Below are 16,337 nucleotides of genomic sequence, written 5' to 3' on the forward strand. Positions count from 1 at the left end.
TCAGGACCCCAGCATGCCTAGCATCCAGATGTGGTGACATATTCACACACATCCCCTGTGGAAATGTGCCAGTGTGGACATATGATTGTCATCAATTAGTTATACCCAAGTGGTGCCAAGAAAAATCGCATCTGTCATACAGTCTGTCTGGCTTCATGGCCCATGATTGATTTAGAGACACTCCTGTTTTCCTTTACTTTGCCCATAGTCATAATATGCTCACGAGCTAAGATTATATAATGAAGCACATGACATTTCATGACAAGAACTCATTTTAGAATGTCATGAAAGTTCACTGGCTTAGACTTTTGTTAGTGGCCAAGATATCATTTGCTTCCCAGTAGCCCAGAATGCCTGTATAGCTTACCTAACTTCTGCTTGATGTCTAAAAGGATTTTATGACAACAATCTTACGACGTAAGAGCCACAGATATTTTGTCTTTTTCCTTCCCAATTTTTGGACTGATTATATGATAGGCTTTTCATTATAAGGCAGAGATAATGTTCCCATTGAGTAATTAGGGAGGGGTAGAATATGCCTGTAATCCCAGCACTTTGGGAGGCTGAGGCAGGCAGACCAAGAGGTCAGGAGATCAAGACCATCCTAGCTAACATGGTGAAACCCCGTCTCTACTAAAAATACAAAAGATTAGCCAGGCATGGTGGCGGGCACCTGTAGTCCCAGCTACTCGGGAGGGTGAGGCAGGAGAATGGCGTGAACCCAGGAGGTGGAGCTCGCAGTGAGCCAAGATCGTGCCATTGCACTCCAGCCTGGGTGACAGAGCGAGGCTCCTTCTCAAAAAAAAAAAAAAAAAAAAAGAAAGGGGTAGAATTTTTTTATTATAATTACTGCTTGATTTTCTTTCTATAAATCATTGCTTGAATTATCACAGAAGTCATTTGAATTTATTGAACAACTTTCAACTTATTTTTTTTAATTATTATTTTGTTTTTGAGATGGAGTTTCACTCTTGTCACCCAGGCTGGAGGGCAGTGGCATGATTTCAGCTCACTGCAACCTCTGCCTCCCGGGTTCAAAGCAATTCTCCTGCCTCAGCCTGCCAAGTAGCTGGGACTACAGGCGCATACCACCACACCTGGCTAATTTTTGTATTTTTGGTAGAGACGGGGTTTCGCCACGTTGGCCAGGCTGGTCTTGAACTCCTCACCTCAAGTAAACTGCTTGCCTCAGCCTCCCAAAGTGCTGGGATTACAGGCGTGAGCCACCGCACCCGGCCTCAACTTCTTTGATTGACTAGCTGATGTTATGTATTGCTTTCATGTTAATGTTCTGCTATATCCTTCTACTAATAACTTACTGAGAAATTTATTGCTAGGTACTGAGCATACAAGGATGCGTAAGTCCAGTCCTCAAAAGTTTATAGTTATGAAGAAATCTCTATTAACAGATCAATCAATGAATGAATTCCATTTAATGTGATAGTATGCTAAGACAAGTAGAGTAGTAGTAAGAATGCAAGGAGTAGTTAGCTGTCCAGGAGATATTTTAAACTTTTTACAACCTGAAATATCTTGCATGTTTTTAAAAATAAATATTTTCATTTATTTTTTATGTACTGTCTAAACACATCTAGCTGCCTGTGGTATTTGCAGTCTAATAATGTTTTACAGTCTTGTGTAATATGGCTATAAGTTTAAATACATATTATTTTTACTTAGAAATTGATTCTTTGAAGACACTTGAAAATATAAAATATTTTGTCCATCTAACTGTCTAACTGGATTCTTTTTTTTTTTTTTTTTTTTTTGTTGGAATCTTGCTCTGTCACCTAGCTTGGAGTTCAGTGGTGTGATCTCGGCTCACTGCAACCTCCGCCTCCTAGGTTTAAGCGATTCTCCCACCTCAGCCTCCCAAGTAGCTGGGATTACAGGCATGCGCCACCACGCCTGACTAATTTTTGTATTTTTAGTGGAAATGGGATTTCATCATGTTGGCCAGGCTGGTCTCAAACTCCTGACCTCAGGTGATCTGCCCACCTTGGCTTCCCAGAGTGCTGGGATTACAGGCGTGAGCCACCACACTCAGGCAGGATTTTCCTGTTTTTCATGGATAAGTATGATTCAGATAAACAAAGTCCAGCCTTCTTGGATTTGTTATGTTTTTGGGTGGAGGAAGAGTCAAGGCTTGCAAATTGGTAAAGCAATAAAGTCATGTATTTCTGACGAGAATAGAAACTAGGCCAGTTAAAATTATCTTGTATAGTATTTGAGTAACGAAATAGACATTATTTAGCAGTTTCATGTCAGCTTTGTAATACTTTTATAAAATAAAGATACCACTATTCATATCCATAACCATTCATTGAACAAATAATTATAATATATACTACTCTTTCCTAAGCTACTGTTGTAGGTCCAGGGGATACCTCAGTGAAGACAACAGCTGAAAATTCCTGGTCTTATGGAATTTACATTAGTTAATTAATTGATTAATTAATAGGCTTCAAGATAATCTGACTTGGAGATTATAAGCCCATTTGTCTCCCAATTTCAATGCTACTTGAAACACCAGAGAACAGCTGTAACATAGGTTATTGTATCAGAGTTTCAAAGTTATAGCTGCCACTATTTGGCCTTGAATTAGCCAGCGCTTTTGGTTTTCTCAAAGAATGTGGTGTGTTTCTTTGCACTTTGCATTGGGGCTGCCTTCTCGAAAAACATGGTGGCAGGATAGTGGGTATGGGTTATTCGTGTAACTGGTCAAATGAGTGAAACTTTGATGGAAGAGAGGAAAACCAAAGAAAGTATGTGCATTCACTCACATCTATGTTCAACCTATTGTGTGGAGTTGCTAGTAATCTCCCAGATCAAAGGTGTCTGTTATGCTCCTAGAAAGTGGCCACCTTCATCCCAGATTGGCTTTATCTTGTCCACAGCATATTGGTATGGTGGAAAGAACAGAAGACTGCATTAAAGCCTGTGCTTTAGGTGCTTTGTAAAGCCTCTTTTGGTCATACCACTCTAGGATGCATTCCTTATAAACTCTTGTCACAGGCATTCCTGTGATCTGAGGAAAAAACTTTCACTGTTGATGAAATCATTGTCACTGACCATCAGGGTGATTTTTGGCTTCTGGTTTTAGTATTAGTTACAGGAAACTCTTTGAGCTGAGTTTTTACAATGAAGTTCATGTGAACAAATAAATAAGGATCTTGCTTATAAATAATTTTCATTTTATTGAGCTCATTAGCCATTGCATTCCAGCAGCCATTTAATAGCATCATAAAAATTATTCAGACAGAAAGATGAAATTATGTATAATTTTAACTAAATCTCTATAATATGCCAGAATGTAATATTCAAGAGTTAGTTGCAAATTGAATTTTTTTTTTCTGGTATCATTCTTCATAATCTTGTTGCCTATTTTAAAATCAAAACAGTGTCAGTAGTCATACAGTTTCTATTCTGGGCCTGGTAGTTGGATTTGGTTAAGCGATGGGAAAGCCAGATTTGGGCACAATCTATAATTACTCTCCTCAGGATGGAAAAGGTAGTTTTGGGACATGGTTTTATAGAGGACTGCGTTGATGTTTGCACCAGACCATCTGAGCTGATCCTTCTTAGGTGACAGCTCATCTCTTTGGGTGGCCTCAGTGTCACAGGCCACATGTACAGATGGAAAATGTGACTGTAGCCTGTCAAATATTTCCTGATTCACATTCATAAGACAAGGTCTATTATTCTGCATTAGAAAAATTGTTCCCCTGAGATATTTTCGTAAGCTTTCTTTCATAATTTTTTTTTTTTTTTTCTGAAGAAGGGAAGGCCATGGATGAACAACAGAATTCAGAAACAGAGTAGCAGTTCAGCCCTTATTTGCCTTCAAAAAAAGAAAAGTACAAAGTGTTCTCTAATTCTGGCTTTTAGAAAGTTCTAGGAAGTTAAATGAACACTTTTTTTTCACTATGAATTATATGAGTGAATTCATCAGAACGGCTGCTTCTAAGAAGGATTTTGGTGGTTTTAGAAAGGTAGGTGTTTATTCCTTTGCCTGGGAAGCCTCACCAGAGATGTTGACTCTACAACCCATCTCATTCGTTAGTTTTTGTGGACAGCAGTTGCCTCATCGGGAATTTTTTTTTTTCACTTCCTTACCATGTTTCCCTTCGGATGGATAGACTAGCCCGACCCAGTTGGTCCAGGCCTTTTCACTACCAAGGATAATTTATCTAACAGGAACAATTACCCTGCTGACACCATGATTTGGAAATTTTTATTCAGAACTGATTCACTAAAATGATTGCTTAAAAAAAAAACCTTTTCCTTGTAGTTTTAATAAGTATGATTTATAACTGTCACCAGAAGTTCTGATCAGCATGTGATAAACCAAAGAAACTTGCCTTTTCAGGGAGTCTATCATATTTTTCACAGGTGAAATGCATAATTAAATGTAAAAAAATACTGAATATAGTAATGAATCATTTGATTACCTCCAGAGACCCTCCTCAGAATGTAACACTGCCACATACAAACAAAATTCCAAAGGTCCTTGAGCTATAGCCCATACTACGGACTTTTTATTGTATCCACAGTGGAATTTCCAGCCTGTTTTTGGGACAAAACAGTGTGCAAACATTTTTGGTATAATTTCTAAATGAAGAGTTCCTACCTTAAGAAGCAGTTGGATTGGAAGATCTTTAAGTTCTATTTAAACCATTAAGGTTTTATAGATTTATAAATATTTATAGTTTTAAAACAGGAGAAGTTAGTAGATGTTTAACAAATGAGCCTTCTTTTTATTTTCTGTTTATGTATTTTGCCTAATTTGTCAACCTCCTAGAAGGTTATCATTAACATATTTAGAAAAATTGTGGGATGATAGTATTGGGAAGGCAGAATTCCAAAATGCTATCAGTGTACATTGCCCTATATCCAGCTTGATTTTAAAATGTAAAACAGAGTAAAATAAGGGAAAGTAACTGAACATTTGGAGTATGGACATAAATTTTGCATGGTGACTCACAAAACATGTAAGCAAATAGTTGAAGGTTGTAAAGAGCTTATTTTTTTTAAAAAAATCTGTTGATCCTTGTCACTATTTATAATAGCAAGAAGCTGAAAAATGGAAAAAGCACTCTAAATAGTTTAGAAAGGGGCCCAATTGTACTTACAGTTTCTTTGTGTAACTGTTGAATTGGGATGCTTGATTTAATTAAACATTCTTAATAGTTTATTGCTGAACTAGGTCTGGATATTTCCATAATACAAGAAGCAAAACATAGTTTATTTGAACAGTTGTGGTAGGACCCATGTGGTGAATGTTTTATATTCTTCAATAGCCTCACATGCCCAAGAAAACTGCTGCTGTGTACTCTGGTAGGACATATTGTCTCCATGGTCTGTGATCATGGAAACTTCTGTTGTTGTGTCCCCTTTAAAACATGTGGTATCTGAAATCTAATGTGAAGTTGTGAAAAACTCTAAAGAATGAGGTTCATGTCACCATATATTATAAAAGAGGCTTTTAAAAAATAGTACTTTTTGAATTGCTTCTTCTTCATATTTTACCAAGTATACTCAGTATTCGTGAATAGTTCTTGTATACACTTATATTAGTTTTTATTCTTCCTTGGTTAATTTAAAAGGTTCTGAAGATCAGGTTGTTTCATTTGAGTAGATTATTCTACTTTTTTTGAACTGTGCCTGGGTCTATTCTTAATTGATGACTGAAGCCTGAGCTTTTTTATTATCTAATGTTCCATGAAAGGCTCTATTGTTTTCATATTTGAGAGAGGAAAATAACAAATACTGTTGAATTTTTTTTTTTTTTGCTTCAAGATATTGAAGAGATTATCCTAATTTGATGACATTTGTTGTATCTGTCAACCAAGGAAACAACATTTTTGCCTAATCATATCTGTTAAATGGTTAAAAATGGCCTTTTGAAATTTGACTGTATCAAAATAAATGTGTATTTGAATGTTAGTTTTGTTCAAGTTTCCAGGGAGCCCAACGTTTATAATTATTGGCCTCAATCTAGATTGACTATACAGTTTTTTAGTATTTTTGATGTAGCTGCAAATACAAATAATTTCTGGCTTTTATTGGACTTTATTGATTTTTACTGGCATTACAAGATAAAAATTAGAAAAGCAACCCAGTAAGTGTTGACATTAAATCAACATTTGTTTTAATGTGAAAATGTATGCTTCTTTGTATTAAGTGATTATTAAAAATATGCATTTATTTGAAAAACAGATGAACATTTATATTATTATACAAAAATGTATTTGAACAGGATAATTGCTGTGTACATTTATTGAACAATTGTGTCTGCCAGGTGTTGGCCTAAAGCACTTTGTATGAAAAGCTTTTTATACAAACTACATCACTTAAATCCCTCAGTAGTCCTCTGAGGAGATTTTATTATCAATCCCATGGTACACATGAAAGAATGGAGGTACACAGAAGTAAATTGTTCAAATGCTTTGAACCTGGCAGTGGCAATCTAGAACTCTTAACTGCTACCCTATACTGCTTTTCTAAATCCTTTCTCTAAAAAGAGACATAGATAGTGTATAAATCAGTATACTTTATTGGGCACACTGTGTTGTTTAAAACCCCTTCTCTCCTTCTCTCTCTTGAATGGAGTCCTTGCAATAGAGTGGCAGGAACTGGTAAATAAGACATGGTTTGTTCCTATTCTCAAGGAACTCTTAGGAGAGCACAGTCATGTCAACCAGTTATGTTATTGTATAGTAAGAAGTAGATGCATAAAGGAAGAATTCTGAAAGCCTGCAAGATCTTTCTATGACCTCATTTTAGTTATTTTCCTCTGTAGAATCTTGTCATGGTCAGGGATAGCTCATTCTTTTTTAAGCATATACATAATAAAAGATAATGTTCATAGTTGAAAGAGAAGAACTAAAAGGTTGGTAGGCTTTGCATGTTGAAATTCTGGATATTCTTCATGTGATGATGGAATATCGATGAGCTTTGGCCATCAGTTCCGGGAAATTGCTCATTATGGCCAACCAGTGTCTGATATAATTAATTTTAATACATACTTTGGGGATTAGCCTGTTACATTGTGCCAGAATTTTTTATAAACTCACATTGACTCATCAGTGTGCATATATATCTCTACACATTTGACTGTATTCTGTTATTCTTCTCAAAACATTGGCATTCTCTTGTAATAATCTTGCACGTGTTTTTCTCTGACTTTAGAGTCATAAAGTTTAGTGTAATAAATTACTGTGCAAGTAGATATAAAATGATAGGTCCTTTGGGATATTAGGCATAACATGATGGTTATGTTGGTAATTATTTACCCTTTACAACTAGCTCAACAAAAACATTGTCTTTATGCAGTCTGCAGCTAATCAAGGCATCAAAATGAGAACAAATATATTCAGAGGTCCTTAATTTCTAATTTGGTCCAAGATACCTCAGTTAAAGCCTCAAGATGGTAGCCAGATGGATTAATTTAAAGATGACAAAAACAGTATTAAAAACAAATAAAATTAAACAAAATAAGCTAGAATCAAGGAAGGATATAAAATTGAAATCCAAAAGTAATCACAACGTATATATTGGGTTATTTAGCTAAAATAGAAGTCCTAGTTCACTGAATTTCAGGACTGGAGAGCTTTGTGGTAGGCAGAATAGTGGCCTTCCAAAGTGTCTATATCTGAATCCCCAGAACCTAATGACTATTTTACCTTACATGGCAAAAGGGACTTTGTAGATTTGATGAAGGTGAGGATTTTGAGATGGGGAGATTTTCTTGGATCATTGGGTGGCTCAGTGTAATCACTAGGGTCATTATAAGAGGGAGGCAGGAGGATCAGAGTTAGAGAAGGACATGTGACAGTGGAAGCAGAAGTTGGGGTGATGTAGCCCCCCCACCAAGGAAAGAGGGAAGACTGCAGAAGCTGGAAAAGGCATGGAATGGAGTTTGCCCTAGAATCTCCAGAAGGAATTTTTAAAATTTTTTTTCAATTTCAATAGGTTTTTGGGGAATAGGTGTTTGGTTGCATGGAAAAATTCTTTAGTGGTGATTTCTGAGATTTTGGTGCACCCATCACCCAAGGAGTGTACACTGTACCCAATGTGTACTCTTTTATCCCTTGCCACCCCCACCCTTTCCTCTGAGTCCCTAAAGTTCAATGTATTGTTCTTATGCCTTTGTGCCCTGATAGCTTAGCTCCCACTTATGAGTGAGAACATATAATTTTCCATTTGGTTTTCCATTCCTGAGTTACTTCACTTAGAATAATAGTCTCCAGTTCCATTCAGGTTGCTGTGAATGCCATTGTTTCATTCCTTTTTATGGCTGAGATACCACATTTTCTTTATCCACTTATTGATTGATGGGCATTTGGGCTGGTTCCATATTTTTGCAATCGCAAATTGTGCTGCTATAAACGTGTGTGCAAATATCTTTTTTGTATAATGAATTCTTTTCCTCTGGGTAGATACCTAGCAGTGGGATTGCTGAATCAAATGGTAGATCTACTTTCAGTTCTTTAAAGAATCTTCACACTGTTTACCATAGTGTATTGTACTAGTTTACATTCCCACCAGCTGTGTAAAAATGTTTCCTTTTCACTACATCCCCACCAACCTTTATTATTTTTTGATTATGTTCATTCTTGCAGGATTGAGGTGGTATTGCATTGAGGTTTGGTTTTCATTTCCTTGATAATTAGTGATATTGAGCATTTTTCCATATCCTAGTCGGACATTTGTATATCTTCTTTGAGAGTTGTCTATTCATGTCCTTAGGCCACTTTTAGATGGGATCGTTTGTTTTATTCTTGCTGATTTGCTTGAGTTCTTTGTAGATTCTGGACATTAGTCTTTTGTCAGATGTATAGATTTTGAAGATTTTCTCCCACTCTGTGGGTTGTCTGTGAATGAACTCTGTTGATTATTATTATTTTTGCTGTGCAGAAGCTTTTTAGCTTAATTAAGTCCCATCTGTTTATCTTTGTTTTTGTTGCATTTGCCTTTGGGTTTTTGGTCATGAAATCCTCACCTAAGCCAATGTCTAGAAGGGTTTTTCTCATATTATCTTATAGAATCTTTATGGTTTCAGGTCTTAGATTTAAGTCTTTGATCCATCTCGAGTTGATTTTTGTATAAGGTGAGAGATGAGGATTCAGTTTCATTATTTCGCGTGTGGCTTACAATTATCCCAGCACCATTTGTTGAACAGGGTGTCCTTTCCAGACAAAATCTCTGAATTGCCAGAAAAAGAATTCAGAAGGCCGATTATTAAGCTAATCAAGGAGGCACCAGAGAAAGGCGAAGTCCAAGTCAAAGAAATCAAAAACATGATGCAGGATATGAAAGGAAACATCTTTTGTGAAATAGAAAGTATAAATAAAAAGCAATCACAACCTCTGGAAATTAAGGACACAGATAGAGAAATGTAAAATGCTTTGAGTGTTTCAGCAATAGAATCGAACAAACAGAAGAAAGAACTTCAGAGATCAAAGATAAGCCTTTTGAATTAACCCAATCCGTCAAAGACAAAGAAAAAAGCATTAAAAAAAAATGAACAAAGCCTCCAAGAAGTTTGGAACTATATTAAACATCTAAAACTAAGAATAATTGGTGTTCCTGAGGAAGAAGAGAAATCTAGAAATTTGGAAAACATGTTTGAGGGAATAATCGAGGAAAACCCCCCTGGCCTTGCTAGAGATCGACACATCCAAATAACACCTAGTAAAACTCAAAGAACACCTGGAGAATTCATCACAAAACAATCCAGAAGGAATTAAGCCTTCTCGATATCTTGATTTTTTTTTTTTTAGTCCAGGGAAACTGATTTTGGACTTCTGACCTTCAGCCCTTAAGTGATAACAAATTTGTGTTGTTTGAAGGCACTGAATTTGTGGTAGTTTGTTACAGCAGCAATATGAAACTAATACAGATTTTAAATGTCATGTAGAACAACGATTCTTAGTCTTAAGTTCTCATCAGTCAGGTTTTGGGAAGAGCAGTGGGCCTGGTGGGCCTGGGGGAATTAGGAGATGCTTATTGGTGATCTGGATTGAGAAATTAGGAAACATTTTTGGTGTCCAATATTACTTTTAATACCTCAAAAGAGCACACATGATTAATTTGAGAGGCAGTTAGTACTGTAGGATTGAGCTAGGGCAACATCATGTAGTTATTCTGGAAATCCTGGGCTCCCTCTAAGCTGCTTCTTGCTCTTACTAGTGGTTAAGACCATTGGTTGAAATCCCTCCCCCACCTTCCATAAATAAAAGGCTGTCCCAGCTTCCATAATGGTCTTGATCATGCCCACTGCCAACCGTCCTTTGAGTTATATGTAAAATACTCTTGGATTCATTTTGGATTGAACTGGGGGTTATGCATGAGGGCAGATTAATGAGCCTCTCTCCCTCTGACCCACAAAAAAGAAGACTGAAATTTCCTAGATAAGGCATTTGTTTTAAATTGTTAACAAAAAGCTTTTTTTTAGTAAAAAAGATTTTAAATTCTTTCTTTTGCATTTGAATATTTTCTTCTCTTCTGTGCAAATAAGAAATATTTGGTCATTTTCTGTGGTTTATTTGAAAATCACAGTTTTGCCTTTTTTTCTGGCCAACTGATCCAGAATTTTTTTGAGAGAGTGTGTGTGTGTGTGTGTGTGTGTGTGTGTGTGTGTGTGTGTGTTTTGAGATGGAGTCTCGCTCTGTCACCCAGGCTGGAGTGCAGTGGCGCAATCTTGGCTCACTGCAACCTCCGCCTCCTGGGTTCAAGCGATTCTCCCAACTCTGCCTCCCGAGTTAGCTGGGACTATAGGCATGTGCCATCATGCCCAGCTAATTTTTGTATTTTTTAAAATAGAGAAAAGATTTCACCATGTTGGCCAGGCTGGTCTTGAACTCCTGACCTCAGGTGATCCGCCCATCTCGGCCTCTTAAAGTGCTCGGATTACAGGTGTGAGCCACCATGCCCGGCCAGAGTGTGTTATTTTTTAAGTTGTTAGCTATTTTGTCTTTCTCTTGAACCTTATCCAAGTGCCCTCTGATCTTTTAAATCTGTAGTTCTATGAGCTAAATCTAGTTATTTAGTTTCATCATTGGGTTTAGTCAGTGATAGAAGAGTACCTTTGGTAACTGGGGGAAAAAGTCTCTGAGTTAATTTGAAATGTTGATTTGAAATTGATAACAGTTGAAATACAACTTGGCATTAACTTTGAAAGAAAATCAGCTGATTAATAATGCAATGTGATACTTTAGATATATTACTAAGCATCTCTGTTAAAGTGAAATGACTTTTTCAATCTAAAACTTTTTATTTTAAGATACATTCTTTTGGAAATGATTTTCTTCCATTATTATTCAAAAATAATCACACGCTAGGGCTCTAGAATTTAATTATAGGATCTCTGCCTTTGTTGGAGCACAATCTCTGTGCCTTTCTTTGGTTCATAAAATAGAACATTGAGTTAAAATATTGTCAGTACCTGTGTCTACCAAACAGTGCATTAAAATACATATTAATAAACTATAGTTTCAATGTAAGTTCTTCTTGGCAGAGATTTGGATGTTAAACTTGGTAAAATCTATTTTGTTAGGTATTTACAAGGAATTATTATCTGGGGAGAAAACAAAAATATGGACTCTGTCCACATAATTAAATGCCCATTCAGCAAAGTGTACAGGTGGTTAATATTTCTAGCAACTACTGTCTGATTATAGATCAGTTTTCATTGACGTAGTTATCAAATAAAGCATTAAAAGTTTTAATTTTTTTTTTCTTTCTCAGTTGAGGTTAGAGTAAGGGAACAGGGGCAAACTGCTTTGAGCTCTCTTTAAGACCATGCAAATATCTTGCTCTTCATCAAACTTAACTCCCTAGACTGAACATGTGCTGATTTTTTTTTCTTTTTCTTTTGAGATGGAGTTTTGCTTTCTCGCCCAGGCTGGAGTGCAGTGGCGCGATCCCAGCTCACTGCCACCTCCGCCTCCCGGGTTCAAGCAATTATCTTGTCTCAGCTTCCCAAGTAGCTGGGGTTACAGGCACCCACCACCATGCCCAGCTAATTTTTGTATTTTTAGTAGAGACAGGGTTTCACCATGTTGGCCAGGCTGGTCTCGAACTCCTGACCTCAGGTGATCCATCCGCCTTGGCCTCCCAAAGTGCTAGAATTACAGGCGTGAGCCACTGAGCCTGGCCATGCTGATGATTTTTACGGTACCAATCTTTATTATGATGATTGCAAAATGGTGATGTAAAAACCCCATCACATTTATCAGTTCATGGTCTACCACTGTAAGGGAGAGTGCTTCTTTCTTTCTTTGTTTATTTCTTACTGACTTATGAATCTGTTATCAGTATTGATTCCTGGTTTCCCACTTTCTGCAGTGGGTTATAATCTCTTACTATCCTTTCCATTTTGATGTTCAAATAACTTTCTTATTTTTAAACACTTTGTGTCATATGTGCCTTTAAAGCCATGTGTTTGTGTCAATCTCATGTGCATTTTGCTTTGTTTGCATCCTTCTTTCTCACATACTCAAAGATTACACAAATTCAGCCCTTTCCTCTTTTTAAAAAAATTTGAATTGTTATTATACTTAAGTAAGCTTTATTTATTTTTTTTTTCTGGATCTGTTATCTTTTTCCTAGTTCTTCTTTTATTGTCCCTGAACCTGAGGGATTATTCAGCTATCTCCACCGTAGAAGACAAGGTTAAAAGTCTGGAACTTGATGAAAACAGTGATGGTTATTTGTAAACTCAGGCACCTTGGAAACTTCCATTCATCATGTCTTTTCTCAAATTCCTGGTGATCAGTAGTCTTGGGAGTATATTTTGGTTATTTCAATATAATGCATTTTCTTTCTAAATCTATTTTTAATTTTCATGCTTAAACCTGCATATGAAAAGATATTTATGTTTAGAGCTGAGGTTTAGAAAAATACCTCTTATTTAATGAGCATGCACTTTGATTGCTGGAGAAATTTTTTTCCAAATATTTTCTTATTGCTGCTGTAAAATATTACATTTTTAAAGTAGAGATCTCAGCAGAAGAATCCTTGTAACATTTTGGAAATGCTTTCTCTGGAGCAGTTTGAAAACAGCTGTAGTAGTACTGAATATAGCTTGTATTACTACATGAAAAGTATGCACATAAATTGTCAGTATTTTGCCTCATTCATTTGTTGTCAAGAGTGACTGAAACTCTGATTTGGCACAGATGGTGACATTAGGATAGCAATGTTTGGTTAAAAAAATAAACAATCTTGTTTCTAGAGAATTAAAAAAAAATTAACTTAAGTGTTGAACTAGCTGTAATATTGCCAAAAGTGATAGAATAATTCATGGTTGAAGAACCTAAAACCTGCATTAAGATGGTGAGGTTGGATGACCACCTAAAACTAATGAATGGCTTTAATTTTATTCTCACTTAAATAAAACTGTCAACAACCCACTGAAGGAAGGGATGCTGGATTCCTTTTAAAATAATCTTAGAGTATTAATAGTTCATTCTCTGCAGTTTGTTTCTACTTGCTATCAGTGCTAATAAAAAATACCTATTTAGTCTTTGTGTCCCATTCCTGACATAAAGCTTATAAAACCCATGGAATTTCGTAATGTGGAATTTTGTAATGTTCCTGATTTGGCTAGAGTTGGCTATTGTTTGTGTATAGGAATGCTAGTGATTTTTACACATTGATTTTGTATCCTAAAACTTTGCTGAAGTTGTTTATCAGCTGAAGGAGCTTTGGGGCCAAGACTGTGGGGTTTGCTAGATATAAAATCATGTCATCTCCAGACAGGGATGGTTTGACTTCCTCTTTTCCTATTTGGATGCTCTTTATTTCTTTCTCTTGCCTGATTGCTCTGGCAAAGACTCTCAGATTGTGTTGACTAGGAGTGGTGAGAAGAGGGCATCCTTGTCTTAGGCTGGTTTTCAAGGAGAATGCTTCCTGCTTCTGCACATTCAGTATAATGTTGGCCATGGGTTTGTCATAGATGGCTCTTACTATTTTGAGGTATGTTCCTTTAATACCTAGTTTAGTGAGAGTTTTTAACATGAAGGGATATTGAATTTTATTGAAAGCATTTTCTGCATCTATTGAGATAATCATGTGGTTTCTGTCTTTAGTTCTGTTTATGTGATGAATCACGTTTATTGATTTGCATATGTTGAACCAACCTTGCATCCCTGGGATGAAGCCTACTTGATTGTGGTGTATTAGCTTTTTGATGTGCTGCTGGATTTGGTTTGCAGGTATTTTGTTGAGGATTTTTGCATCAATGTTCATCAAGGATATTGGCCTAAAGTTTGTGTGTGTGTGTGTGTGTGTGTGTGTGTGTGTGTGTGTGTGTCTGACAGATTTTGGTATCAGAATGATGCTGGCCTTACAGAATGAGTTAGGGAGGAGTCTATCCTCCTTGGTTTTTTCGAATCATTTCTGTAGGAATGGTACCAGCTCTTCTTTGTACATCTGGTAGATTTGAGCTGTCAATTCATCAGGTCCTGGGCTTTATTTTGGTTGGTAGACTATTTATTACTGATTCAATTTCTTTATTGACCTGTTCAGGGAATCAATTTCTTCCTGGTTCAGTCTTGGGACGGTGTATGTGTCCAGGAATGTGTTCAATTCTTTTAGGTTTTCTAGTTTGTGTGTATAGAGGTATTTGATAAAAAAGAATATCTGTCATTTGATGTATTTTTCCTCCAATTACAAGACCCCTAATGGTAGCTTAGAGTCTTCATTATTAGCTTTAAAGATGTCGAAAACAATTTCTCACTTGTCTGGGCAAAATAAATCACCATCTATAGCTCTTTTCAGGTCTTCCTTTTAGGAAGGGGTCAAGTCCTATGCTCTTTAACCTCTTCCCTGATGCGCCTATATGAAGAGTGGGGAGGCCTGGCTTGCCAACAGTTCTTGTGAAAAATAACAAGGCATCTTAAATGACCATAATTTTTGTGTGAGGCAGCAGTGTGTTGTGGTGGCCATAAATGCTGATACAGACTTAGGCTTTATCAATGAAAGATGTGAGGATATGGTTTTCTTACTGTGCCTTATGCATCTAGATCATGTCTAGCACACTGTATTCACTTTGAGGGACTGAGGCTTAAGCTGGGCATTGACAGTATAGGATACAGATGACTAGGACAGCAGTAGGTCAGGATGTCTGTCATTCATTAAATGGTTGAAAGGACTGAGGATGTTTTGCTTAGGAGGCATCCAAGGTGTATTAGTCCATTTTCATGCTGCTGATAAAGACTTACGTGAGATTGGGCAATTCACAAAAGAAGGAGGTTTAATGGACTTGCAGCTCCACATGGGTGGGAAGGCCTCACAATCAATGGCAGAAGGCGAGAAGGATCAAGTCACATCTTACATGGATGGGAGCAAGCCAAAAAAGAGAGCTTGTGCAGGGAAACTCCTTCTTATAAAACCACCAGTTCTCATGAGACTTATGAGAACAGCACAGAAAAGACCTGCCCCCATGATTCAGTTACCTCCCACTGGGTCTCTCCCACAACACACGGGAATTCAAGATGACATTTTGGTAGAGACACAGCCAAACTGTATCATCCCACCTCTGGCCCCTCCCAAATCTCATATCCTCACATTTCAAAACCAATCATGCCTTCCCAACCATCCCCCAAATTATTAACTCATTTCAGCATTAACTCAAAAGTCCACAGTCCAAAGTCTCATATGAGACAAGGCAAGTCCCTTCTGCCTATGAGCCTGTAAAATCAAAAGCAAGTTAGTTACTTCCTAGATACAATTGGGTAAATACACCCATTTCAAATGGGAGAAATTGGCCAAAACAAAGGGACTAAAGGCCCCTTGCAAGTTTGAAATCCAGCAGGGCAATCAAATCTTAAAGCTCAAAAATGATCTCTTTTGACTCCATGCCTCACATCCAGGTCATGCTGATACAAGAGGTGGGTTCCCATGGTCTTGGGTAGCTCTGCCCCTGTGGCTTTACAGGGTACAGCCTCCCTCCTGGCTGCTTTCATGGAATGGCATTGAGTTTCTGCAGATTTTTCCAGGTGCACAGTGCAAGCTGTCAGTGGATCTACCATTCTGGGGTCTGGAGGATGGTGGCCCTCTTCTCACAGCTCCACTAGGTGGTGCCTGAGTAGGGATTTTATGTAGGTGATCCGACCCCACATTTCCCTTCTGCACTGCAGTAGCAGAGGTTCTCTGTGAGGGCCCCACCCCCGTGGCAGACTTCTGCCTGGGCATCCAGGTGTTTCTATGCATCTTCTGAAATCTAGGCAGAGGTTCCCAAACCTCAGTTCTTGACTTCTTTGCACATGCAGGCTCCACATCATGTGGAAGCTACCAAGGCTTGGGGCTTCCACCTTCTGAAGTAACAG

The 16,337-nt window shown here is 37.3% G+C and overlaps 1 protein-coding gene across 8 annotated transcripts in view, besides 2 other annotated features; it reads left to right on the forward strand.

Annotated features, from left to right (window-relative positions):
• Positions 1-16,337, forward strand: part of NNT (nicotinamide nucleotide transhydrogenase) — a 104,722-nt gene that overhangs the window by 77,787 nt on the left and 10,598 nt on the right. The gene's annotated exons all lie outside the window — the stretch shown is intronic.
• Positions 531-700: an enhancer, noted in NCBI's record as "experimental_85370 CRE fragment used in MPRA reporter constructs". NCBI's record gives its function as "activates a minimal promoter by MPRAs in K562 erythroleukemia cells, with activity observed for both the introgressed and non-introgressed 5:43681179 variant alleles {active_cell/tissue: K562}" and the evidence as "EXISTENCE:reporter gene assay evidence [ECO:0000049][PMID:34662402]".
• Positions 3,132-3,301: an enhancer, noted in NCBI's record as "experimental_85375 CRE fragment used in MPRA reporter constructs". NCBI's record gives its function as "activates a minimal promoter by MPRAs in K562 erythroleukemia cells, with activity observed for the introgressed 5:43683780 variant allele {active_cell/tissue: K562}" and the evidence as "EXISTENCE:reporter gene assay evidence [ECO:0000049][PMID:34662402]".

The sequence above is a fragment of the Homo sapiens genome, chromosome 5 (assembly GCF_000001405.40).
Source record: "Homo sapiens chromosome 5, GRCh38.p14 Primary Assembly".
Lineage (NCBI taxonomy): Eukaryota > Metazoa > Chordata > Mammalia > Primates > Hominidae > Homo > Homo sapiens.